This window comes from Homo sapiens, chromosome 1 (genome assembly GCF_000001405.40).
Source record: "Homo sapiens chromosome 1, GRCh38.p14 Primary Assembly".
In the NCBI taxonomy this organism is placed as follows: domain Eukaryota; kingdom Metazoa; phylum Chordata; class Mammalia; order Primates; family Hominidae; genus Homo; species Homo sapiens.
Genome location: NC_000001.11, coordinates 190,012,315 through 190,038,568, shown reverse-complemented (window position 1 = coordinate 190,038,568; position 26,254 = coordinate 190,012,315). Strand labels below are relative to the sequence as shown.

Here is a 26,254-nt window from a genome sequence, read left to right as displayed (position 1 = left end):
TCTGTTCATATAGAGACTGCTTTGCAATGCAAGGATATACGTGTTGTGACCTTTAGCTACTTCTTAGACTCTTCAAAGAACAATATTCCTCACGGCTTCATTTTTTGTTGTAGGATATTCTCTTCTTAAACAACAAGATGTTTTATCTATTACCAAATGTACTAAAACATTTATAAACCAGACTAAGTAATATGAGATTATATGTCTCTTTAATATTGTCTTCCAAAAATAAAATATTTTAAATAATTATGAAAATAATTTTATCAATTGCCTAAAAGTTAGAAGAATAATACTTTATTCTAGGAATGAAACAATCAAATAAAAGATTACATTATCTTTTATTAGTGCAACTCTCTGGAATGGGTATGCATTTGATTTTATAAGTAATTTAAGGATGTGTTTTACTTGATATATTTTTATCAAGAGTTTTCCATTTGCTTCTGTCAAATTTTTGCCACTTTTGTGAACAATATGACAACGTATTTTCTCTTCAGTACTATTGTACTATTTATATTAGCTAAAGGTATAGTGTGAGACTAGAAAAAGTATTCTTATCTTTCTGCACAGTTAGGACTTTCTGTGAAAATTTTACTGAAACTTAGAACCTAGACTAAAAGACAGCCTTGGAAGTAAAATTATGCTGACTAGAAAAAGAACTCCAGATCAAGTTTTACTTCTCTAGAGGTATGCGTTTACATTTCAAGGAGGATGAGACACAAGACCATACAGATATTCTGGGGGTTTTAAAGTTTGGGACATTAGTTTAATCTTCCCCCTAAAAACATACATTTACATTCCAAAGGGAAGTAATCCAGGATCTTTTCCCTTTAGTTCTCAAGAGAAACATTTATTAGGAAGCAAAATGTTTCTCTGTATATTTCTGAAAGGGAATATGTGACAACTGACCCACTGCTACACGATCTCCTAGATTCATATAGTTGGGGCTTCCGTACTTCTTGCCACTCTGGTGCCTGTGAATGACCTCCTAACTTACTCTCACAGTGTTGCCCTAGAAGGGCATATTGGGACTTGGGGAACTGGCATGGTTATTGCTTTAACCGGCAAGGTTATTGGCTTTAAGTGAATGAAAATATGCTTTGCTCCAAAAACCATGAGTATACATTCAGGATAATATTAATAAGCATAGACATTAAAAACTTAACATATAGTATTTCTAAACAGATCATTATTTGAATGTAACATTGTTGTTAAATCCCTGGGGAAATTTTTTTCAAGTTCCCAGCCTATTCCTAAATTTTCTAACTCTAGCTTGTCTTTGAAACCACAAAAGAGAGATTATATTCAAACATCCATTAAATCTCAGAAGGAATGCCTACAGAAGAGTAGGTCAGACAAAATTTATAATGCTTGCTTAAGAAAATAAAAGTTCTGTGAGCATTCATGAATTGCTGAACCATTTTTATATATAACAGCTTATCTTTCGGAACTTCCAGAAAAATGAGATAAATATATTTTAAAATATTTAGTAAAATGTTTAAAATTGTCTTAATGATTGACAGTGTTGCTGATCCTCAGTGAGACCCTCACAGGTCACAAAACAGTTCACAAAGTAGGCAGACTACTTAAGGTTACTCAACTCTACCTGAGGTTCTTAGTTCTTCCTTTATAAGGGCAAAAACCATGAATATTCTTCCCATGAAGCCACATGCAAAAAGCCAGAAAGCTAAAGTTAAACTATAAGTTAACCCAGATAGACTCAGAGACAAGTCAAGCAACTAACACAACTTGAGATTTCCATAAAGAGATTTTTACTATGGGTTAGTACAACATGTTATGAGACATATTAAACTGAAGTTATTAAGATGTAAGTTACTATTTGGGATATTCTTTTTTGTTTTTTTGTTTTTTCGTTTTTTGTTTTTTTTGTTTTTTTTGAGACAGAGTCTTGCTCTGTCGCCCAGGCTGGAGTACAGTGGCGCAATCTTGGCTCACTGCAAGCTCCATCTTCCGGGTTCAGGCCATTCTCCTGCCTCAGCCTCCCAAGTAGCTGGGACTACAGCCGCCCACCACCATGCCTGGATAATTTTTTTGTGTTTTTAGTAGAGACAGGTTTTCACCGTGTTAACCAGGATGGTCTCAATCTCCTGACCTCGTTTATATAGCATACATTTGCTTTGGTACAGGCAGTTGTGAATATCAATGTGTTTTAAGAAAGGAAGTTCAAGGGTGCCCTAAGAATTTTTAAAAATCAATTATTTTAAAGGCAAATTTTAAAAATTAACTGTAGAAATGACAAAATAAAATTAAAATCGTAAAAAACTTACATGTAAACCACTTCAGATACAAGTGTCCCTAGATACACAAAGATTACAGAAACTAAAATTTGTGTGGTTGGTCACTGTTGTATAACAGATTTCTTCGTAATGATAGTGTGATTGTTTATACTGCGTGTAAATTTTTAAACCCCAAACTGTCTCTTTAATAAATTCAACCTGATGCATCTTTTGAAGTTGAAAGATTTACTGCTATTTTAATTGACTCAAAGGCAATATAGCTTTCTCTGGAATCATTGCCAAAAACAAATGACATGCCATTGGATCTATGCTTTCAATTCCTGGGGCAGCAGTATCTTCAAAGGGAGAAGCATTTGATTCATACTATGTAACCTCAGGCTAATTCTCTAATTAGGTGATAATTTAGATGCAGTGCATGCCCTAAATGCTGTGTGGAGTGTGAGGTGCAGACAGGAAGATGCCTAACTGTGGTAATGTAAAGAGAGCAGATGGCCGAGAAAACACAATTTCTACAATTATTTTAGAGTTGTAATTCTGTTAGTCAATTAAGCATTATTATTAAACCTTAATTTTTGGAATATTCATCAGAAAAACTATGCAAATATTTTCAATCTTCAGAAATAATTTACCAAGTAGATCAGTAGATGAGCATTCAAATTTTGCCATAGTATAAAATATCAATAATTTTCTCCATGCAATCTGCTATGTGAATAACAAAAAAATGAGTGCAGAAACGCAATGTTAGTACATTTAGCATAGCTTTGTCCCTGCAATCTGCTATACAAATGAAAAAAAAAAGAGTTTAGAAATGCAATAATAATACATTTACCATTGGTTGAATGCTTTGCTCAATAACATAACTATTTGCACCATGTTTATATTTTATTTATCATTAAAGTATACCTGCTTCGAAATATGTATGCACCAGCTTAGATATGTACCACCAAAATGGCAACAAAAGCATTGGTTTTAAAGATGTATATTCTTTCAATCAAAGTTAAAGATAAATTATACTTTGAAAATAGAGTTTCCTGGATAACGGCATTACAAAATCTCATAACTATTAGTAACAGCAGAGAATTATCAAACTTGTAAATTGTGAATTTTAACTCATATTTCTATTTATTGTATATAAAAGTTGAACATTTTAACCAACATGTTAAATGTAAATAAAGAATATTAGCATTTTCGTATATATTTACTTAACCTTCCCATTCAGTGGAATTTCTCTACTTCTGTCCTGTTCACCTGATGCTAATATTCTGTCTTGCAAATATCTTTGTTCCTTTCTAAACAGCCCTGCCTCCTTTAATGTAGACATTACTTAGGAAATTTGTTTGTTTGGTTGGTTGGTTGGTTGAGATTTTTGGCTTTTTTTTTTTCTTTTTGTGGAAAACAGGGTCTCACTATATTGCCCAGGCAGTTCTCAAACTCCTGGGCTCAAGCTATCCTCCCGCCTCTGCCTCCCTAAGAGCTGGGATTACACGTATGAGCTACTGCACCCGGCCAACATTACTTAGTATATTCCAGTCATCTGCTATGTTTGCCACATCTCAGGATTTCTTTCTCAGTGGGTATTAAAAAAAAAAAAGGCTGTGTCAAAATTATATTAGAAATTTCAGAAAATGAGACTTCCAGTTAATGTCAGGAGGAGATATATAGCATGGAAAGCAGATTTTCTCACTCCAAATCAAACCTGAAGATATTATAGAGGCAAGAAAAGAAAAGAGATTCAAGAAACTAGTGAAGACAATACAGGATACAGAAATGCTGGAGGATGGGTGAGTATGGGAGATGTGGCTGTAGGTCTAGACCAGAGAGCATCAAGAAGAACGCTCGATGTTGGACGAAGAGTTTTAAGCATCAGATCTTGCTTTTACTCCCCACATTGTTTTAGAACAATGATTGCCTCCCTTTTGCTGCAGAAATCAGCAACAACAGTTGATATTGATGTTCACCGGATATCAAGGTGGTACGAAAGCTTTAGTGAAGTAAAAAGCTGATGTTAAAATGCTTCCACTGGCCAGAGCTTTTACTTCTTGAATTTTCACTTATCCCTTTCCTCTCCGGGTGAATTACACCAGGAACCTGCCACCTTGAAGCTAATTCCCTACTTCTCTTTAAATTTATGGATAAGAGCCTGTTATAGGACTATCATTGTTACTAAATTAACTGATTCCACAAGGAGAACACAAACTCACATGCCAAAACTAAACATGTAAAAAGCATACATACTTAAAAAATATAACATACTAAATAACATACGGAATAATTCTCCACTGAGGAAAGTTATGTGAAGAGGAAGAAAAATAACTAACAATTAGGTTGTTTTTTAAAAAATGTGAATCAAAATATTAGCAACATACAACAAGAATAATAAAAAGAACCAAGTGGAAATATTGATGAATATATTAACTGATATATAACACACACATATATATGCACAAACATAAACACATTAAAACTATGACAATAGATAGGATACATAGCAGGATGATAGGAAAGTATAAATAAAAACAAAATCTTCTTCTAACCAAGAGATTCTCTCCACCAAGGTAGTAGAGAAAGACAACATTCTCATTATTGAATAAACATAAATATTAACTGGTTCTCAAATAAGAGGACTTGACAGAACCTTTCATCACACATAGCTCATCCTAATGTATGGTAATTGGGAGGGCCACTTGTCTTAGCTAATTGGCTTTATCCAAAGGAGAAAGTGTCTTTTCATATCTTTAAACAGGAGGTCGTTTTGCAAACTGGAGCAAATCAGTCACCAAAGTTAGGGTTCTGCTTTTCCATAAAAACTGGGAAATAGAGGTATTATCTACTTTATTGTTTACATTTAAAAGAGATGGTCTTCAAGTCCTTGAGAAAGAAATTTCTGGGTCATAAAGTGATAGAAAGCCTAGCTAACTTTCAAAAGGAAATATACATGTTTCAAAGACAGAACATACTTAGAAGTTTTTTAAAGTAAATATTTTAAGAAAAATGAAAGAAGGAAAATTTCTTTCCTTATTTTCAACAAGAAAAATGAACTCTCTTAATTTTATTTGTTTTGCTTACAATAGACCTGAAAAACATGAGTCACAACAATACATTAAAATCTCTACCAAGCCCGTCTGTAATCCCAGCTATTCAGGAGGCTGAGGCAGGAGAATCACTTGAACCTGGGAGGTGGAGGTTTCAGTGAGCTGAGATTGCGCCTTTGCACTCCAGCCTGGGCGACAGAAAGAGACTCTGTTTCCAAAACAAACAAACAAACAAACAATCTCTACCACAGAGCAGCAGAAATAATTGAGAAAAAACACACAAAACCTGAAAGCTGAGAAATACAGAGTTAGAAGAAGAAATCTGAGACATCTACTTTCCTATTTGAAAATATTTCAAAGCTACAGTAATAAAAATGTACACAGTATGGTACTAGCATAAAGAAATAGGCATAGACCAATGAAACAGGGTGAGCCAGAATTATATCAGCATAATACACAGTCAACTAATCTTTTACAAGGGTACCAAGATTACACAATGGGGAAAAAAATAATGTCTTCAATAAATGGTGTTGAAAAAGGTGAATAATTATGTGGAAATAATGAAATTGAATTTTTATTTTAAAATATGCTTAAAATATCAACTCAAAATGGATTAAAAACTTAAATCTAATACCTGAAACTATCAAACCACTATAATAAAAAACAGAGGAAATGCTCCGTGACATTCGTCTGGACAAAGATTTTTTTTTTTTTTTTTTCAGATGGGGTCTCACTCTGTCACCCAGGCTGGAGTGGAGTGGCATGATCTCAGCTCACTGCAACCTCTGCCTCCTGGGTTCAAGCAATTGTCCTGTCTCAGCCTCTCAAGTAGCTGGGATTACAGGTGCCAGCCACCACATCCGGCTAATTTTTATATTTTTAATAGAGAGGGGGTTTCACCATGTTGGTCAGGCTGGACTTGAACTCCTGACCTCAAGTGGTCTGTCCACCTTGGCCTCCCAAAGGGCTGAGATTACAGACATGAGCCACTATGACCAGCCAATTTTTAAAAATATGACCCCAAAAGCACAGGTAACAGAAGTAAAAATGGACAAATGAAATAAATAAAAAGTTTCTGCATACAAAAGAAACAATAAACAGAATAAAAAGAGACCTACGAAGTGGGAGAAAATATTCGCAAGCCACTGTAGATCTAATAAGGAACTCCTACCATCTCAAAATAAATAAAGAAAGAACAAGTAATCTGATTTAAAAATAAGCTTCAGTAGAGATTTCAAAGACATTCAAATGGCCAACAGGTGTATGAAAAAAATGTTCAACATTGCTCATACCCAGGGAAATGCAAATCAAAACCATGAGATATTGCCTTGCATCACTTAGTATGACTGTTGTCAAAAAAACAAAAGATAAAAAGTCTTGGCAAGGCTGTGAAGAAAAGGGAACCTTTGTATATCACCATTGTTGAGAATATAAAATAATGCATGCCCTAAGAAAAACAGTATGGAAATTCCTCAAAAAATCAAAAATAGAACTACCATATGATCTTATGGTACCACTTCTGGATATATATCTACAAAAATTTAAATCAGTATTCAAAAAGATATCTGCACTTACCTGTCATTGCAGCACTATTCACAATAACCAATTAATTGACATAACCTAATGCTCATTGACAGATGAATTAATAGGTATGATATCGTATATACATACATTTATATGTTTAGTCAGCCTTTAAAAAGGGGGAAATCCTGCTATTTGCAATGACATGGATGAACCTTGAGAACATTATTCTTAGTAAAATAAGCCAGTCACAGAAGAATAAATACTGCATGATTCCACTTAAAAGGTGACAAAAAATTGTTGCTGAAACTCTATTTATTCTGTCAATATGTAATATTCATTAATAGATACATTGGGAGCAAAAGTAGCTATCTCATTAAAGGATACATTTTAAGTAACATTATACTTTCTGTTAAATAATGATTTATCTACATTTTATAAGCTATTTATGATTTTGATTGATGGCATATCAATAATAATTTTAAGATAACTCAAAGTAGACATTGGCTTAGGCAAGTATTTCGACAAAGAACCCAAAAGCAAATGCAATAAAAACAAAGATAAATGGCTGAGACCTAAATAAACTAAAGAGCTTTGCATGGCAAAAGGAACAGTCAGCAGAGTAAACAGACAACCCAAAGAGTGGTAGAAAATCTTCACAATCTACACATCTGACAAAGGACCAATATCGAGAATCTACAACTAACTCAAACAAATCAGTAAGAAAGAAACAAACAATCCCATCCAAAAGTGAGCTAAGGACATGAATAAACAGTTCTCAAAAGAAAGTATACAAATAGCCAACAAACATATGAAAAAATGCTCAACATCACTAATGATCAAGGAAATGCAAATCAAAACCACATGGTGATACTATCCTACTCCTGCAAGAATGGCCATAATCAAAAAATCAAGAAACAGTAGGTATTAGCGTAGATGAAGTGAACATGGAACACTTCTACACTGCTGGTGGGAATGTAAACTACTACAGCCACTATGGAAAACAGTGTAGAAATTCCTTAAAGTACTAAAAGTAGAACTACCATTTGATCTAGCAATCCCACTACTGGGTATCTACCCAGAAGAAAATAAGCCATTACATGAAAAAGATACTTGCACACTCATGTGTATAGCAGCACAATTCACAATTGCAAAATCATGGAACCAACCCAAATGCCTATCAATCAACTAGTGGATAAAGATACACACACACACACACACACACACTATGGAATACTATGTAGCCATAAAAAGGAATGAATTTATGGCATTTGCATCGACCTGGGTGAGATTAGTGACAATTATTCTAAGTGAAGTAACTCAGGAATGGAAAATCAAATATGGTATGTTCTCACTGATATGTGGGAGCTAAGCTTTGAGGACACAAAAGCATAAGAATGATACAATGGACTTTGGGGACTTGGGGACGAGACTGGGAGGATGGCGAGGGATAAAAGACTACAAATATGGTGCAGTGTATACTGCTTGGGTGTGGGTGCACCAAAATTTCACAAACACCACCAAAGAACTTACTCATGTAACCAAATACCACCTGTACCCCAATAACTTGTGGAAAAATAAAATTTAAAAAAGAAAAATGTAAGATTCTTATGTACAATAAAAAAATAATTAAATTTAAATTATACAATATTACACAACATATAATATGAAATTAATAAGGGATAAGAAGTATATTGCCACAATTTTCTGATGGTAATATAATTAGGAATTTGAGTCCAATGAAAATAAGGAGTGATGAGAAGGGTGTGAAATCACGATGACTTTTAGATTCCACTGGATGCATTTAAAGGTACTACAACAATTTTTACCATTATAATAAAACAATTCTATTCTAGTGACAGTTTTCATAAACTCTCACAGGCTCTCCTTCCAAATCCATCTGTATAGCAAACAACTTTGGAAGGTAGATATAGTATCTCCCTCTGAGGAAGAGGTCATATTTGTCATTCCTAGCAGTATAATAAAGACAATGTTTCTCTACAGGGCAAACATCGGGCAGGTTTGCTAGCAAATTCATAACACTGGGGATTTCAAAAGGTCATGGTTTCTCAGTTGAGACAACTCCACTGTCTGTGTGTCATGCACATAGTCATATCCCAGCATTGCCCCCATGAGACTTACAAACATGAAACATGCTGTCTGCTTAGCCAAAAAAAAAATCCTTTTTCTGACCCTGGAGTCTCATGCCTTCTGCCAGCATCTAGCAAACTTTGCCATGCTAGTGTGTTAGCACATGAGTAAAACCTCACACACTTTGCAGTTATTGACAAAATATTTATGTTTATAATAAGCAAAACTATGTCCTTTGTATTTATAATTATGATCAGATGTTTAGATCAAACTATAAACATATGTGCTCAGATGTGAAGACCATGGCTATATATTTAATTTATTAATTATATAATTGTTAGCCACTGTAGCGGAAGGAAGAAAGTTTTCTTGTCTAGATTTTCTTTCCTACTACAGCTATATCCCTAATGATCTGCCTGCCTGCACATAGTAGGTGTTCCAAATCTCTATGCTGAATGAGTGAATACTTTAAACAGTCTACCACTAGTAAAAAAATATGAATGAAAGGCAATATCTTGAAATTTTGATAATTCATATTTGTGGAAAATAGAGGAGAAGCTATATTTTGTTTTTGATTTCAAAACTTACTCATACAATTGTATAAATTTATGCACAATTCCTTAAAATGATAGACAACATTTGTTGATTCAATTTTTCAAGATATTTGCAGAAAACATTAGCAGCCATCTTATTTTATGAGATATTCTGGGGTTTCATAGATGTTGAGATGATTATGAATAACCTGCATGACGTGGAATATCAGAGTTTATTTGATAATGTGTGGCCATCTTAAAAACTTGATATGGGTTCAGCAATTTTAAGTAGGGAAACACTTTGCACACATATTGTCAGCGGTATACCTGGATTTATTTATAGTGCTTTTTAGTGAAAAGATGAAGAACTCCAAAACCTTCTCGGTGTCATCAAATCTGCATGAAATCTTATTCAAATACATGTAAAATTCAATATACTTTCCCAAACATTTGAAAGCAGAAATAAGTACTTAGTCTTCAGAAAGTTTTGCAGTTAGTCAAAAACCTGATGGACACTGACAGAGGACTTGAGCTGTAAAGGTTTTACCTATATAATGACTGAACACTGACACTTGTATGAAATTATTTTTTTAAAAACTTGCTGGTGAATTAGTGTTTGGCTGACATTGGATTCCAAACATTAATGTAATTTGAGTATTTTATTATTATAATTAATAAATGCTAAGTATTAGAACAATTATTTCTAAAGAACTTAATTTTTATCATGAAAATAGAAGAATCTGAAAAATCTGATATGAATTTCTAAATCATTTTCATAGAAGTAGATCCATATGTGTGCCATTAGAAAATGTATGAATAACGGCTCTGTTCTGTTCCATTGATCTATATCTCTGTTTTGGTACCAGTACCATGCTGTTTTGCCCTCAGAAATAATGCCGCATATCTACAACTACCTGATCTTTGACAAACCTGAGAAAAACAAGGAATGGGGAAAGGATTCCCTATTTAATAAATGGTGCTGGGAAAGCTGGCTAGCCATATGTAGAAAGGTGAAACTGGATCCCTTCCTTACACCTTATACAAAAATTAATTCAAGATGGATTAAAGACTTACATGTTAGACCTAAAACCATAAAAACCCTAGAAGAAAACCTAGGCATTACCATTCAGGACATAGGCATGGGCAAGGACTTCATGACTAAAACACCAAAAGCAATGGCAACAAAAGCCAAAATTGACAAATTGGATCTAATTAAACTAAAGAGCTTCTGCACAGCAAAAGAAACTACCATCAGAGTGAACAGGCAAACTACAACATGGGAGAAAATTTTCGCAACCTACTCATCTGACAAAGGGCTAGTATCCAGAATCTACAATGAACTCAAACAAATTTACAAGAAAAAAAACAACCCCATCAAAAAGTGGACGAAGGATATGAACAGACACTTCTCAAAAGAAGACATTTATGCAGCCAAAAAACACATGAAAAAACGCTCATCATCACTGGCCATCAGAGTGATGGCAAATCAAAACCACAATGAGATAACATCTCACACCAGTTAGAATGGTGATCATTAAAAAGTCAGGAAACAACAGGTGCTGGAGAGGATGTGGAGAAATAGAAACACTTTTACACTGTTGGTGGGACTGTAAACTAGTTCAACCATTGTGGAAGTCAGTGTGGAGATTCCTCAGGGATCTAGAACTAGAAATACCATTTGACCCAGCCATCCCATTACTGGGTATATACCCAAAGGATTATAAATCATGTTGCTATAAAGACACATGCACACATATGTTTATTGTGGCACTATTCACAATAGCAAAGACTTGGAACCAACCCAAATGTCCAACAATGATAGACTGGATTAAGAAAATGTGGCACATATACACAATGGAATACTATGCAGCCATAAAAAATGATGAGTTCATGTCCTTTGTAGGGACATGGATGAAATTGGAAAACATCATTTTCAGCAAACTATCACAAGGACAAAAAACCAAACACTGCATGTTCTCACTCATAGGTGGGAATTGAACAATGAGAACACATGGACACAGGATGGGGAACATCACACTCCGGGGACTGTTGTGGGGTGGGCAGAGGGGGGAGGGATAGCATGAGGAAATATACCTAGTGCTAAATGACGAGTTAATGGGTGCAGCACACCAACATGGCACATGTATACATATGTAACAAACCTGCACATTGTGCACATGTACCCTAAAACTTAAAGTATAATAATAATAAAATAAAAAAATAAAAAAACAATAAAAATTTAAAAAACAGATTTTTATCTACACTTTGTAAATACCTGGGTTTTTCTGATAAGTGTAAGGGCTCATGTTATTATTGTGAATTAATTTTTCTTACCAAACATCAATTTTTTTCTTAGATAATGTGAGATGAGGATTCTTATACATAATAAATCCATTTAGGCTGCCTGTAAAACAACAACAACAAAAAAGAAAATGTATGAATAAATAATTAAAAATTATAATTGGCAATTTTGATAACATATTGTCTTCTATATTGTAAGAATATTATAAGTAGCTGTGTGTTTCTAAGTATTGACAAAATAACTATAATAAAATGCCAATAATTCCAACAAGAATATCTAGATTATAAAAATTTTAAATTTGCTTTGTAAATAGAAGAAACTAATTAAGAGATGGAAATTCTTGATTTCTTGTTGAAATATTATACCAATTTCCTTTTTTTCCTTGATATATGCAAAACCAAGCCTCATCTAGAGTATGGCTAATTTAATCAATAGTGGGTATTTCTTTATCCAACATGTTCTTAAAAATAATATACTTGCATGACCATATGCACAGAATATTTGGGATCAAATTTCAATTCAATACAGTCTCAGAGTAAGTATAACAGAAAACCTGTTCCTTGACCTATAAGGTATTGAATAGGGATTAGTATCTAAACTTTTGTAGTTTGAAAGACTCAAACATAAGTTCGCCAATTCAACAAAGATATATGATTCCATACTAATTCATCTCTTTCAAATAAATTTCACTGTGTTGGTATATATTCTATATGGCCTTAGACCTTGAGGTTATAGTTGTAGGTGATAATTAAGAAGGTACTTGGTGAAATTCATCATTTTTTGGCCAGGTGTGGTAACTCACACTTGTAATCCCAGCACTTTTGGGAGGCCAAGGCAGGCAGATCACCTGACGTCAGGAGTTTGAGACCAGCCTGGCCAACATGGTGAAACCTCATCTCTACTACAAATACAAAAATTAGCCGGGCGTGGTGGCGCATGCCTGTAGTCCCAGCAACTCAGGAGGATGAGGCAGGAGAATCACTTGAACTCAGGAGGTGGAGGTTGCAATGAGCATAGATCACGTCACTGCACTCCAGCCTGGATGACAAAAAAAAAGAAAAAAGAAAAAAATCATCATTTTTGAAAAAACAATTAAAAGGGTTAAACTAAAAATGTTCAAAAGATCTCATAAGTTTTCAATTAAATTTCAGTTGTAGAATCAGATGCAATAACTAAGACCCACTTAAATATTTTTAAATTATACCATACCAAATAAGCTCACTGAGTAGTATGATCCATGCAGAGTATATTCACTTTCTCCAAATTGTTTTGCTTATAAAATGTAGATCAATGTTAGTTAAAAAGCAAACAAAGAAATATATGGCCAGCCGGGTGCAATGGCTCACGCCTGTAATCTCAGCACTTTGGGAGGCTGAGGCGGGCGGATCACGAGGTCAGGAGATCGAGACCATCCTGGCTAACACAGTGAAACCCCGTCTCTACTAAAAATACAAAAAATTAGCCAGGTGTGGTGGCGGGCGCCTGTAGTCCCAGGTACTCGGGAGGCTGAGGCAGGAGAATGGCGTGAACCCGGGAGGCGGAGCTTGCAGTGAGCCGAGATCGCGCCACTGCGTTCCAGCCTGGGTGACAGAGGAAGACTCCTTCTCAAAAAAAAAAAAAAAAAAGAAAAGAAAAGAAAAGAAGTACATGGCCAATTTGTTTCAGTGGGACCAATTTGAAATATGTGTGCACATATACACTATCGTATATTACTTCCTTTCACTGTTAATGGGCAAGTAGTGCATCTTTAAATGAAAGTCAGAATCTATTAAATAATTCTAAGTTATATGTGTTAATATGTAATTTTGTAGCCATCCCAACTTACAAAACATAATCTTTCAAAGATAAATTACTATGGATATTTCCAGAATATAACCATCTTGCCTTCCCTAACTTATTTTTCTAAGGTTTTCATTTATTTTTGTTTTTCAAAGGTCCTGCCATTTCAACTATTTTGTAATGGTTAATCTTAAACACATGCAAACCATGTAAATAAACATAATGACAAATAAAGTCTAAGAAAATTATGTTTTTACTTTGAGTGGAAGATAATGAGCTATAATTAATCATAAAGAATGTTATGTACTCACATAGCAGTGCTGTTAAATACTGAGTTGAGATGCAAACACAACACCAGTAGGAAAGAATACCACTCTTCTCTGTTTAATAAACATAGTAATTAATATCTCCTGCTGAATAGTTTACAAAGTTATAGTCCCTGTGGTTAGAAAACCATTATGAACCTTAGGGGGACATCTAATCGTATTTAACAGTAACAAAAACAAACAAATAATTGACTATTTTAGTAGCAAATATAATCCATAATTCTGTCTTCTTCCTGGGAGCTAGTGACATATTTAGAAAAGCATATTTGCAAATGTTTTCCGTATTTTGAATACCTATCTTTATTGATTTGTAAATATAGTTATTTATAGAATCATTTAAAATACTTTTAGAAATTTTACTATTGGATCAGAATGGCAATTAGGGAGAAAAGTAAATGCATACCACAAATAGTAGTTGAAATTATATTTATAAATCATAGCTAAGAAAGAAAAGATTGAAAATGTCTTGCAACTAGAGCTTCTTATTCTTAAACTTACTGTAACAAACACTTGATGTTAATACTGAACTTTCTGTGAATAAATAAAATGTCTATAAAATTCTCATAGATATTTACTAGCAGAAATAAACACCAAATCAACAAAAAACAATAAAGCAAAAACGACCATTTAAAAAGTGTACGTTTAAAATATAAAGAGTATGAAGTCAAGTAAAACTTATTTAAATTTGTTTCTTTTCTTATTCCGTCTTCAAATTCATTAACAAATGGATGATGCATCTTGATATTGATTCACTGCATCTAAACAGCTCTGTAGATGGGGGACACTACATATTTTAGGCCAAGAATTTAGAATAAAACACGGTTGTCTTAAAACCTTATGGTATTATTTGATTTTATAATCAGATTACACAAATAATTGGGATCGAAAGTCTCCTTTTAAAAAATAAATGCTCTTACTCTAATACTACCCTGTGCAATAAGCTAAAGTATTTTCATACATTCCTGCTTTCAGTCATAGCAAGAAAGCCATAAAATAAGTATTTGGGAACTTTGACATAAAGAACCCAAACTTAGATGCCAAGGAACAGCTCCGGGAACACCTATATACTTACAGTCTGCAACAACCCCTTCAAGTGCCTCTGAAAACCTGAAAATCTAAGAGAAAAATGTCATTATGTGTAAATTCACCAGATTGTTGTTCCGAAACCATTTCTGAAAATAAATTTCAGACACAACCTCTAAACTTTCTTCAAAGTAGTATAGATATTTCTGGTGGGCTGGTGGGAGCAGAAAAATAAAATTATCTTAAACTGACAGAAATTTCAGGTGCATTCATTTGATCCAAGGCAAAGAGTTAGCTTTCCAAGAGAAAGACAATCTTCAGAAGGAAGGCTTGGGACAAATTATTAATAGCTAGATATTTGATATAAAATTGAATGACTGGAACAGATCATATTTTAATATGTTCTTCTCTACACTGCAAGATTATTTTAAAATTATTCATGCATTATTAAAATTATTATTGAATACAATTATTCAAAATAATTTAAAAATATTAATAATGAATACAAAAGATACTTAGTGAAAACTTTCCTTTATTGAAATCTTTATAAGCCACTAAAATATACTATTGTGAAAAAGGACAAAATAAATAAATTAGTATTTTTTAATTACATTAATATATTTTCTTTTAAATCAACTTTATTGTGGGGGGAAGAATTTTAGCTTCATAGCAAACTTGAGGGACACTACTTTTACATACCTTATTCTTCCCGACTCCACATATCCATAGCCTCCTCCATTACCAACACCTCCCACACTTGTTACAACTAACGAACCTACATTGATGAGTCATTATCAACCTAAGTTTGTGGTTTACATTATGATTCATTCTGAGTGTTGTACTTTCATTGAGTTTAACAAATGTATAATGACATATGTCCACCATTATAATATCGTACAGAATAGTTTCCCTGCCTTAAACATTTCTGTCCTCTGTCTATCCATCTTTCCCTCCTCTGAATGCCTGACAATCACTAATCATTTTACTGTCTCTGCAGATTTGTCTTTTTCAGAATGTCATGTAGTTTCAATCATACAGTATGTAGCCCTTTCCAATTGGTTTATTTTACTTATTAATGTGCATTTTAAGTTTTCTCCATGTATTTTCAAGGCTTGATAGTCCACTTCTTTTTAGTGCTGACTAATATTCAACTGCTTGGATATTCACAGTTTAATTACCGATTCACCTACTGAAGGACTTTTGGTTGCTTCTAAGTTTTGGCAATTATGAATAAAACTGCAGTAAACATCTGTGTGCTAGTTTTTGTGTGAACTTAATTTTCCATTAATTTGGGTAAATACCAAGGAACATAATATGCTGGATTGTTTGGTAAGAGAATGTTTACTTTTATAAGAAACTGGCAAACTGTCTTTCAAAGTAGTTGTACCATTTTGTATTCCCATTAACAGTCAATGAGAGTCCTATTTCTTCACATCCTTGCCAGTATTTAGTGTTGTCAGTGTTCTAGATTTTGGTCATTCTTTTAGGTATGTAGTGATAACACATGGTTACTTATTATGCATTTCCTTAATGACATATGATCTGGAGCATCTTTTAATATGCTTATATGTCAACTGCACATTTTCTTTGGTGAGGTGTAGGTTCTTCTCTTTGTCCATTTTCAATTGGTTGCTCAATTTTTTAAATTTAGATTCAAAGGGTATATGTGCAGATTTGTTGCATGATTATATTGCATAAAGGTGGGAATTGTGCTCCTAGTACACCCAGCAGCCAAACAGCGAACACTGTACCCAACAGGCAATCTTTCAACTCTCACTTCCCTTTCAATCTCTCCCCTTTTGGAGCCCTCAGTGTCTATTATTTTCATTTTTATATCCATGCGCACACATTATTTAGCTCACACTTCTGAGAGAAAATGTGGTATTTGCTTTTCTGTTTCTGAGTTATTTCACTTAGGATAATGGCTTTCAGCTTTATTCATGTTGCTACAAAGGATATGATTTTATTATCTTTGATGGTATTCCGTGATGTATATATACCACATAGTATTCCATGGTGTATGTATACCACATTTTCTTTATTCAGCAAAATGCTGATAGACGCTAAGGTTGATTTCATGGCTTTCCTAATGTGAATAGTGTCATGATATTGCCTTATTTTTGAGTGCTAAGTTACTTGTAAAGTTTCAGTAACAGCCCTTTATCAGAAATATATTTTGCATTAATGCATTTTTTTAAAAAGGGGGGAAATATATCAGAGGAAATGCTTCAAAAATAATTCTTCTGTCAAGTTCAGATAATACTTTTCACATGATGTGATAATAGAAGTAACTCAAATTTTGGTCCTACCTGTTTACAATCACTAGGTGCATGGTTTATGTAGAATCTATTGTTAAACAAAAGAATATGTAGCTAAATGGGCATCATAGACAAGAAAGACATGCAAAATGATTCTGATCTATTCCGAACCGCCACAAACTTAACACTTGAAACAAATGTGTGTAGCTGGCCTGTTTGACCAATGTCATTATTATTTTAAAAGATTCTATAGAGAATGCCTCATTACTCATATTGCCTCCACCTGGTGCAGACTACTCTCACTGTCCCACCCCTGCTATGGCACCTTTGAGTGGTATGATCATAGATATACACATAGGCACATCCCATCATCTTCCTACAGAGAAAATTAAGCAATAACACAATGGAGATGAGCATTTTGGATGGAGACCTCTGAGTACGAATATTCTCAGAATATTTTGCAGAAGTCCAAGAATTCTCATTATACATCTTTCACTGCCCTTTATTTACTTTATGTACTATGGTCATTGAGGTTGACAGCAGGGAAATGTGGAGGTTTGTTTTACAGGATTTACTTTTGTGAAGGTAAAAATAAATCACTTTCTTTATAAAAGACTTTAATATGGTAAAATAAAAGTAGTTTTGGTCATTTGCAATACCCATACCAAATCTCATCAAGAAAGTAAGTTTGTAATCCCCGCACTTTGGGAGGCTGAGGCAGGAGGATCACGAGGTCAGGAGAGAGAGACCATCCTGGCTACTGGCTAACACGGTGAAACCCCGTCTCTACTAAAAATACAAAAAAAATTAGCCGGACATAGTGGCAGGCGCCTGTAGTCCCAGCTACTCAGGAGGCTGAGGCAGAAGAATGGCATGAACCCGGGAGGCAGAGCTTGCAGTGAGCCGAGATTGCACCACTGCACTCTAGCCTGGGCGACAGAACTAGACTCCGCCTCAAAAAAAAAAAAAAAGAAAGTAAGTTTGCTTTCCTTTTCCCCCGGGGGAAGACATACAGCTTCATTGAAGAAGAGCCCACTTAGGCATCTGTTGCTTGTTGTTAGGCAACTGCATAAGCAAACAAATACACGATCCCAAAACTATATTATATATATTTTTAAATTTTCCTAATTAATGTATTACCAAATATGACTCAGTGTCAATGCTACAGCAGTGTTTATACATTTTTATTTTTCATTTTTTCCTGTAACTTTGCTTTATATTTGTTTCTATATGATATTATTCACTGTTATAATTTGCTCAAAACAACTTAACTGTTATTTTCATCATGAACAGTTGTGGATTGAGATCTTTTCATTATTGTACAACAGGTCCTTGAATAATTTCATTTTGTTCAATGTCGTTTTATGAAAACGTAGATGAGAAAAGAGAATCTGTTCTCCGCTGGGGCTACTGTCTCTGTGCAATTTGCATATTCTCCCCATGTCTGTGTGGGTTTTCTTTGTTTGCTCTTGTTTCCTCCCACATCCTAAAAATATGCACCTTAGTTTACTTGGTGTGTATACAGTGTCCCAGCATGAGTAAGTGTGAGTGTCTGGGTGAATGCACCCTGTGAGGAAATGACGTCCTGTCTAGGACTGGTACCCACCTTGCGTCCTGAGCTGCCTGGACGTCTTTAGCCACCTGAAAACCTGAACTGGAGTAAGTAATTATCTTACTTGCTTTTATTAATATTTTTAAAATGTATATTTAATACACATTTATTTTAATGTCTAATATTAGAAGTGTTTTGGTCTTTATTTAGAAGTTGTTGATGATTTTGTGACCAGAAATATGCCATGAGAACTTAATTCTTTTGCGTATCAATTAGCCTATGGTAAAATTGGTTTCATTACATGTCATTTTGCTTAAAGTAGCAGTTTCTTTTTTGAGACAGTCTCGCTCTGTCGCCCAGGCTGGAGTGCAGTGGCACAATCTCGGCTCACTGCAAGCTCCGCCTCCTGGGTTCCCGCCATTCTGCTGCCTCACCCTCCCTAGTAGCTGGGACCACAGGCTCCCGCCACCACCCCAGGCTAGGGCTAATTTTTTGTATCTTTAGTAGAGACGGGGTTTCACCCTGTTAGCCAGGATGGTCTCGATTTCCTGACCTCGTGATCCACCCGCCTCGGACTCCCAAAGGGCTGTGATTACAAGCGTGAGCCACCGCGCCCGGCCTAAAGTAGCAGTTTCTAAGAACCTGCTGAGGAGATTAAGTGAGAACTTGTTGTACTTCAAGATGCCTGCGTTTACTCATCTATAAAATGCGGAACAAATAATAACAGCAACCTCATATGCTTATAGTGAAAAATACTCTAATTAAAATTCAGGAAAATACCTGGCATCTATATAAACGCTCAATAAATATTAGCCCTTTATATGTTCTACCTGTTGTATTCATACTTTCAGCTTCATCGCTTAACCAAAAATCACTAAACTAAAACATTATTCATCAGTTATTATGTTTCATTGCCTTTTAGCCATTTTTGAAAATGTTGAATACTCTTTCTAAGCATTTCTTTCTCCTTGGCTTTCATAAAATATCTTTCTCCTGGTTGTCCTTTCTCTTTTACCATACCTTTCTAGTCTCTGTTGTAGGCTCATATATTTATGGTGCTAAAGAGTATATATATATACACATATATATACACACATACATATATATGTAAAGTATGGATATATATATGTAAAGTAGGGATATATATAGATATATATATATGTATATGTAAAGTAGGGAGGGATATATATATATATATATATATATATATATATATATATATATATCCCTCCCTACTTTACGTCTATATTTGGATCTCTGCTCAGTTAAGTCCATAAATGAGATAATCTTTCTCTATCCTCTGTCATTTCTTTATGTATTTTTCTTCTGACAGCATTATCTGAGAAATTTCACAAGCCAGAAAACTTGGACTCATCCTTTGCTTGCTTCTATAATTCCAAATCTAATAAATTACCTTGCTCTGTTGACATTATTTGTTAAATATCTTTTGTATTCATAAACTTTTCTTCATCTCCATTACCAATTCCAGTTCTCCTGTTGATTGTTACAGAATACTTCCAACTGGTTTTCTGACTAGAAATTTTTCTGTCCTCCTCGCTATAATATAGAATGTAGCCAAAGCGTAGTTTTCATGTGTATATTGCATTTAAATGTGCTTAAAACACCACTCAATATTTTCAATATTTTAGAATAAAGTCTATAGTTCTTAATGTAACTTATAATGCAGAGATGGTGATAGTGTGGCCCAGATATATAGAGATTATATATAGAGATATAAGTTTATACATATTTGTACCTATTAGCCATTCAGTTCTCAGATTCTGTGAATCATTTGCATATTTAATTTTTTCCATTTTTCTCATTGATTTGCAAAATTTTCTTGTATAATCTATTAATTGTTTAGCAATGTTAGATAGTACAGATTATTATATAGTCTATCTCCAATCTTATCATTTATTTATATTATAAAATATTTTGATTCAAAATATTTAATTCTGTTGTTAAATCCATCAATTCTTCACCTTTGTTTTTACATATCTTTGTGTCAGTTTGAGAATAGTTTTACTAGTCTAAGGCCACAAAAGTTTGTTGTTTCATTTTCAACATTTTGTTTGCTTCATACTTTAAAAGTATTTAAGTTTATTATTTCATTGTAGAAGAACACTAGTAATTTTGTAAGTTAATTTAGTGTTTTACTACTTGCAGAATTCAATTAATTTTATTTTTGTTGCTTATATTAATTTTCACATAAATATGTTTATATCATTAACATTTAAATTATGTCTTTTCTTCAAATTATGTAATTTAATTAATCTTAGTCGTATTGATCTATGACTTACATCTAATATTATCATGCATTTAAAATGTATAGTTTGATGAGTTTTGATAAATGTATCCATTCATAAAACCACTGCAACACATGAACATTTACATCACTCCAAGAAAACTTTCCTTCTGCACTTTTGCTTTTAATACCCTTGTCCTACTCCTGCTCTTAGGCAAGTCATTGTTCTGCTTTCTGTCATTATACTATTGCCTTATCTTGAATTTTATGTAAATTGAATCAAATAGTATATAGTCTTTGTGTTTCACTTCATTCATTTAGCATGATATTTTGGAGAGCCAAACATGCTCTTTTGAGTGTCAGCAGCTTGTTCTTTTATGTAACTGAGTATGATTCCTGTAATATACTTCATTTAGTTTCTGTATTTAACTGATGATAAACATTTGCTTTATTTCACACATTTGACTATTATGATTAATGAAGCTATGTTTATTTCCATACAAGTCATTTTGTAGACATATGTCTTAACCTTTCATTGATAAATACCTGGGAGTATAATAACTAGGTTATATGATAAGTGTATGTTTTATTCATAAGAAAATGTCAAGCTGTTTTCACATGTAGCTGCATGATTTTGTATTCCCACAAGAAAGGCAGAAGAGTTCCAATTGCTCCCTATCCTTATTATCAATTTATATTTTTGATCTTTTAATAGGTATGCAGTGATGTCTGAATATGTATTAATTTTTAATTTCCTGGTGACTATTCTTTGTGAGAATCATTTCACGTGTTTATTGCCAATTAAATTTCTAAAACTGTCAAACAAACTTTGCCATTTTTATTGAGTAACTCATCTTTTATTGACTTAACTATAAATTCTGTAATGAAGCACTTGGTCAGATATATATTTGCACAATTTTCTTATGTGCTGTATTTCACTTTTTCATTTTCATAACAGCTTCTTTCAAACAACAAGATGTTTAAATATTGACAATGTCTTATCATTGTTTTTCCTTTATGGCTCATGCTTTTGTTTTTTTATGTAAGAAATTTTTGCCTGCTATATGGCCACAAAGATTTTTGACTCTCTTTTGTTACAGAATTCTAATGGTTTCACATGTATTCTTACATTTAAGTTTATAATTAATGATTAATTTCAGTTAACTTTTGTGCATGGTTTGAATTAAGGGGTAACATTATTTCCTATAAGAACATCCAGTAGATTTCTGACTCTCTTTTGTTACAGAATTCTAATGGTTTCACATGTATTCTTACATTTAAGTTTATAATTAATGATTAATTTCAGTTAACTTTTGTGCATGGTTTGAATTAAGGAGTAACATTCTTTCCTATAAGAACATCCAATAGTTTCTGCAACTTAAAAAACAAAAAAAATTACCATTTAATCCATTGAATCACTTAAGCACTGTTGTTAAAAATCAACTGACCATTGAAGAGTGATTCATTGAAAGTGTTCCTTTAGTCTATATGTCTATCATTAGCACAATACAACTTGTCCTTCTTATTGTAGACTAATGGTATTGACTCTCACCTGGGAGTAAATTTGCTCCTGAGGGGTCATTTAACAATGTCTAGAGGCACCCTTGGTTGTCACAACTGGGAAAGCGGTTACTGTCATCTGGTGGGTAGAAGCCAGGGATGCTGCAAATCACCTCAAATTGCACAGGACAGCCCCAAACAACAAAGAAACATTTGGCCCTAAATGTATTTGGCATCAACCTTGATCATCTCTGTTTTGTAGTAAATTTTAAAATTGGATAATACATATCATCCATTTTCTCCTATTATTTTAAATTTGTTTTTGTTAGAGGTCAGAATTCAGAAAAATTATTCTGTTAAAAGTAAGAAAGTTAACGCTTATGGCCCATATGATTTCTTTTCTAACTACTCACCTCTGTTGAAGTAGCACAAAGTACATAAATTAATGGGTATAGAAATGTTCCCCCCAGAAATCTTAAATACCAGGAGTCATCTGGACTTCATTCCTATTTTGTCCATCTTCGTCTAAGTTATTTGCATGTCCATGTAAATATTAGAATTTACTTTTATGTTTCTATAAAAAGCCTGCTGAGATTTCAATTGGAAATATGTTTAATGTATAAATCAGTTTAGGGGAGAACTATCATCTTAAAAATTAGTGTCTTCAAATTTATAAATTTATCATTCCATTTATTTGTCTTCTTTAATTATTCTCAACAATGTTATTTAGTTCCAGGGTGCAAGTCTTGCATATATTTTACAAATTGTTGCTCATTTCCTTGCTCTCTAGTCCTGATGGACTTAGCTAGCTGCTTTCTGAACAACTAGGAGGAAGAATGCCTTGTTCATAAAGTGGAATCAGAATGGTGCACTACAGTCTGATTCCACTACATGGGTGGAATCAGGATGGTGCACTATATCCACTAGAGATTAAAATCAAAGCAAAAAGAAAGCAAACCTCGACTGTAAAATCATATTCTATGAATAACTCAAAGAATAGCATTTGTGTCTATTAAAGGTATAGTACAAAGTTAGAGGGTATACAAATGCATATAAGACCATCATTTCTGACACCAACTGCAAGTTCAACATAACGTCCCCTAAATCTCCTCAGATTTCATCATTCACTAGAAGGTCTCACAGGATTTATTGAAAGCTGTTATATCCACGATTGTGGTTATTGTAGGAAAAGGATACAGGTTAAAATCAGCCAAGGGAGAAAGCATATATAGCAGAGTCTGGGAAAAGTATCAAAAACAAAACTTCTGTTTTACTCTCCCCATGAACTCATAGACAGTGTTAATTTCTCCACTTTGATGTGTGGTAATGCATATGAAATATTACCAACCAGGAAAGTTTACACGAATCTTGAGTATTTATTTAGGCTTCATCATGTCAGTATGGTTGACTGACAACATGGCTGATCTCAGCCTCTAGACTCTCAGGATATCAAACTAATACTTTCAGACCCAAGGGATCATCACTAAACCACATGTTACTCTCTGGCTGGCCAAAGATCTCAAACAAAGCCACTGAACAGGCATGGCATTCCATGGCATTAAGAATTACCTCTCATAAGCCAAGGCCAAAGGCAAGACCTCATTTTGGACTATGTTAAATTCTTTGATATACACAGGGATATTTAATAACTAATATTATGTTTTAGTAACAAGCTTTCAATGGTAGACAAATTTTTCTCTTGGCACATCGTGTTTTCCATATCACTATGGAAACAAAAATAATATTAATTCAACAAATATTTATGACTTTTCTGTTAAATTCAAAGAACTTCTTTGATGCTGTTGGTGTAGGAATGAAAAAAATAAAATTGGCCTATTGCTGAATGAAACTTACATTTAAATTAGAGTTGTCAATAAGGAAATAAGCTAATTTTTTGAAAGCCTAATATTGAGATCCAATCCTGGACTCTGGAAATATGGAAGTAAACAAACAATCAAACACACACACACACACTCACACACACACACGCACGCACACGCTGCTAACCTCATGTAGCTTGTCTTTTTTTTAATTTTTATTTTAATTTCAATTTTTCCATAAGTTATTGGGATACAGGTGGTATTTGGTTAAACACGTTCTTTAGCGGTGATTTGTGAGATTTTGGTGCACTCATCACCTGAGTAGTATACACTGCACCGTATTTGTAGTCTTTTATCCCTAGTTCCTCTCCCACCCTTCCTCTTAAGTCCCTAAAGTCCGTTGTATCATTCTTATGCCTTTGCATCCTCATAGCTTAGCTCCCACACATCAGTGAGAACATAAGATGTTTGGTTTTCCATTCCTGAGTTACTTCACTTAGAATTATAGTCTCCAATCTCATCCAGGTCACTGCAAATGCCATAAATTCATTCCTTTTTATGGTTGAGTAGTATTCCATTATATATATATATATATCATATCATATCATTATATATATCATTATATATATCATTATATATATATCATTTTATATATATCATTTTATCAGTTTCTTTATCGACTCACTGATTGATGGACATTTGGGTTGGTTCCACGATTTTGCAATTGCGAATTTTGCTGCTATAAACATGCCTGTGCAAGTATCTTTTTCATATGATGACTTTTTTTCCTCTGAGTAGATACCCAGTAGTGAGATTGTTGGATCAAATGGTAGTTCTACTTTTAGTTCTTTAAGGAATATCCACATTGTTTGCTGTAGTGGCTGTATTAGTTTACATTCCCACCAGCAGTGTAGAAGTGTTGCATGTTCACAGCATCTACACCAATATCTGCTGTTTCTTGATTTTTTTATTATAGCCATTCTTGCAGGTGTAAGATGGTATTGCAATGTGGTTTTGATTTGTGTTTCCCTGATCATTAGTGATGTTGAGCATTTTTTCATATGTTTCTTGACCATTTGTATATTTTTAGCATTGTGTATTCATGTCCCTACCCAAATTTTTGATGAGATATTTTTTCTGATTTGTTTGCGTTTGCTGTAGATTCTGGATATTAGTCCTTTGTCAGATGTATAGATTGTGAAGATTTTCTCCCACTCTGTGGGTTTTCCATTTTCTCTGCTGACTGTTCTTTTGCTGTGCAAAAGCTCTTTAGTTTAATTAGGTCCCAGCTATTTATCTTTGTTTTTATTGCATTTGCATTTGAGTTCTTGGTCATGAAATCCTTGCCTAAGCCAATGTCTAGAAGGTTTTTTCCAATGTTATCTTCTATAATTTTTATAGTTTCAGTTCTTAGATTTAAGTCCTTAATCTATCTTGAGTTGATTTTTGTATAAATGAGAGATGAGGATCCAGTTTCATTCTCTTACATGTAGCTAGCCAATTATCCCAGCACCATTTTTTGAAGAGGGTATCCTTTCCCCACTTTATGTTTTTGTTTGCTTTGTCAAAGATCAGCTGTCTGTAAGTATTTGGGTTTATTTCTGGGTTCTCTATTTTGTTCCACTGGTTTATGTGCCTATTTTTATACCAGTACCATGCTGTTTTGTGACTATGACCTTATAGTTTAGTTTGAAATCAGGTAGTGTGATGCCTCCAGATTTGTTCTTTTGCTTAATCTTGCTTTGGCTATGCTGGCGCTTTTTTTGGTTCCATATGAATTTTAGAATTGTTTTTTCTAATTATGTGAATAATGATGGTGGTATTTTGATGGGAATTGCATTGAATTTGGAGATTGCTTTTGGCAGTATGTTAAGTATGGTAATTTTCACAATATTGATTCTACCCAGCCATGTACCTGGGATGTGTTTCCATTTGTGTCGTCTGTGATTTATTTCAGCAGTGTTTTGTAGTTTTCCTTGTAAAGGACTTTCACCTCCTTGGTTATATATATTCCTAA

At 33.7% G+C, this 26,254-nt stretch overlaps 1 annotated feature.

Annotated features, from left to right (window-relative positions):
• Positions 1,583-1,783: a silencer, noted in NCBI's record as "peak555 fragment used in MPRA reporter construct". NCBI's record gives its function as "represses an SCP1 promoter by STARR-seq MPRAs in K562 erythroleukemia cells {active_cell/tissue: K562}" and the evidence as "EXISTENCE:reporter gene assay evidence [ECO:0000049][PMID:32103011]".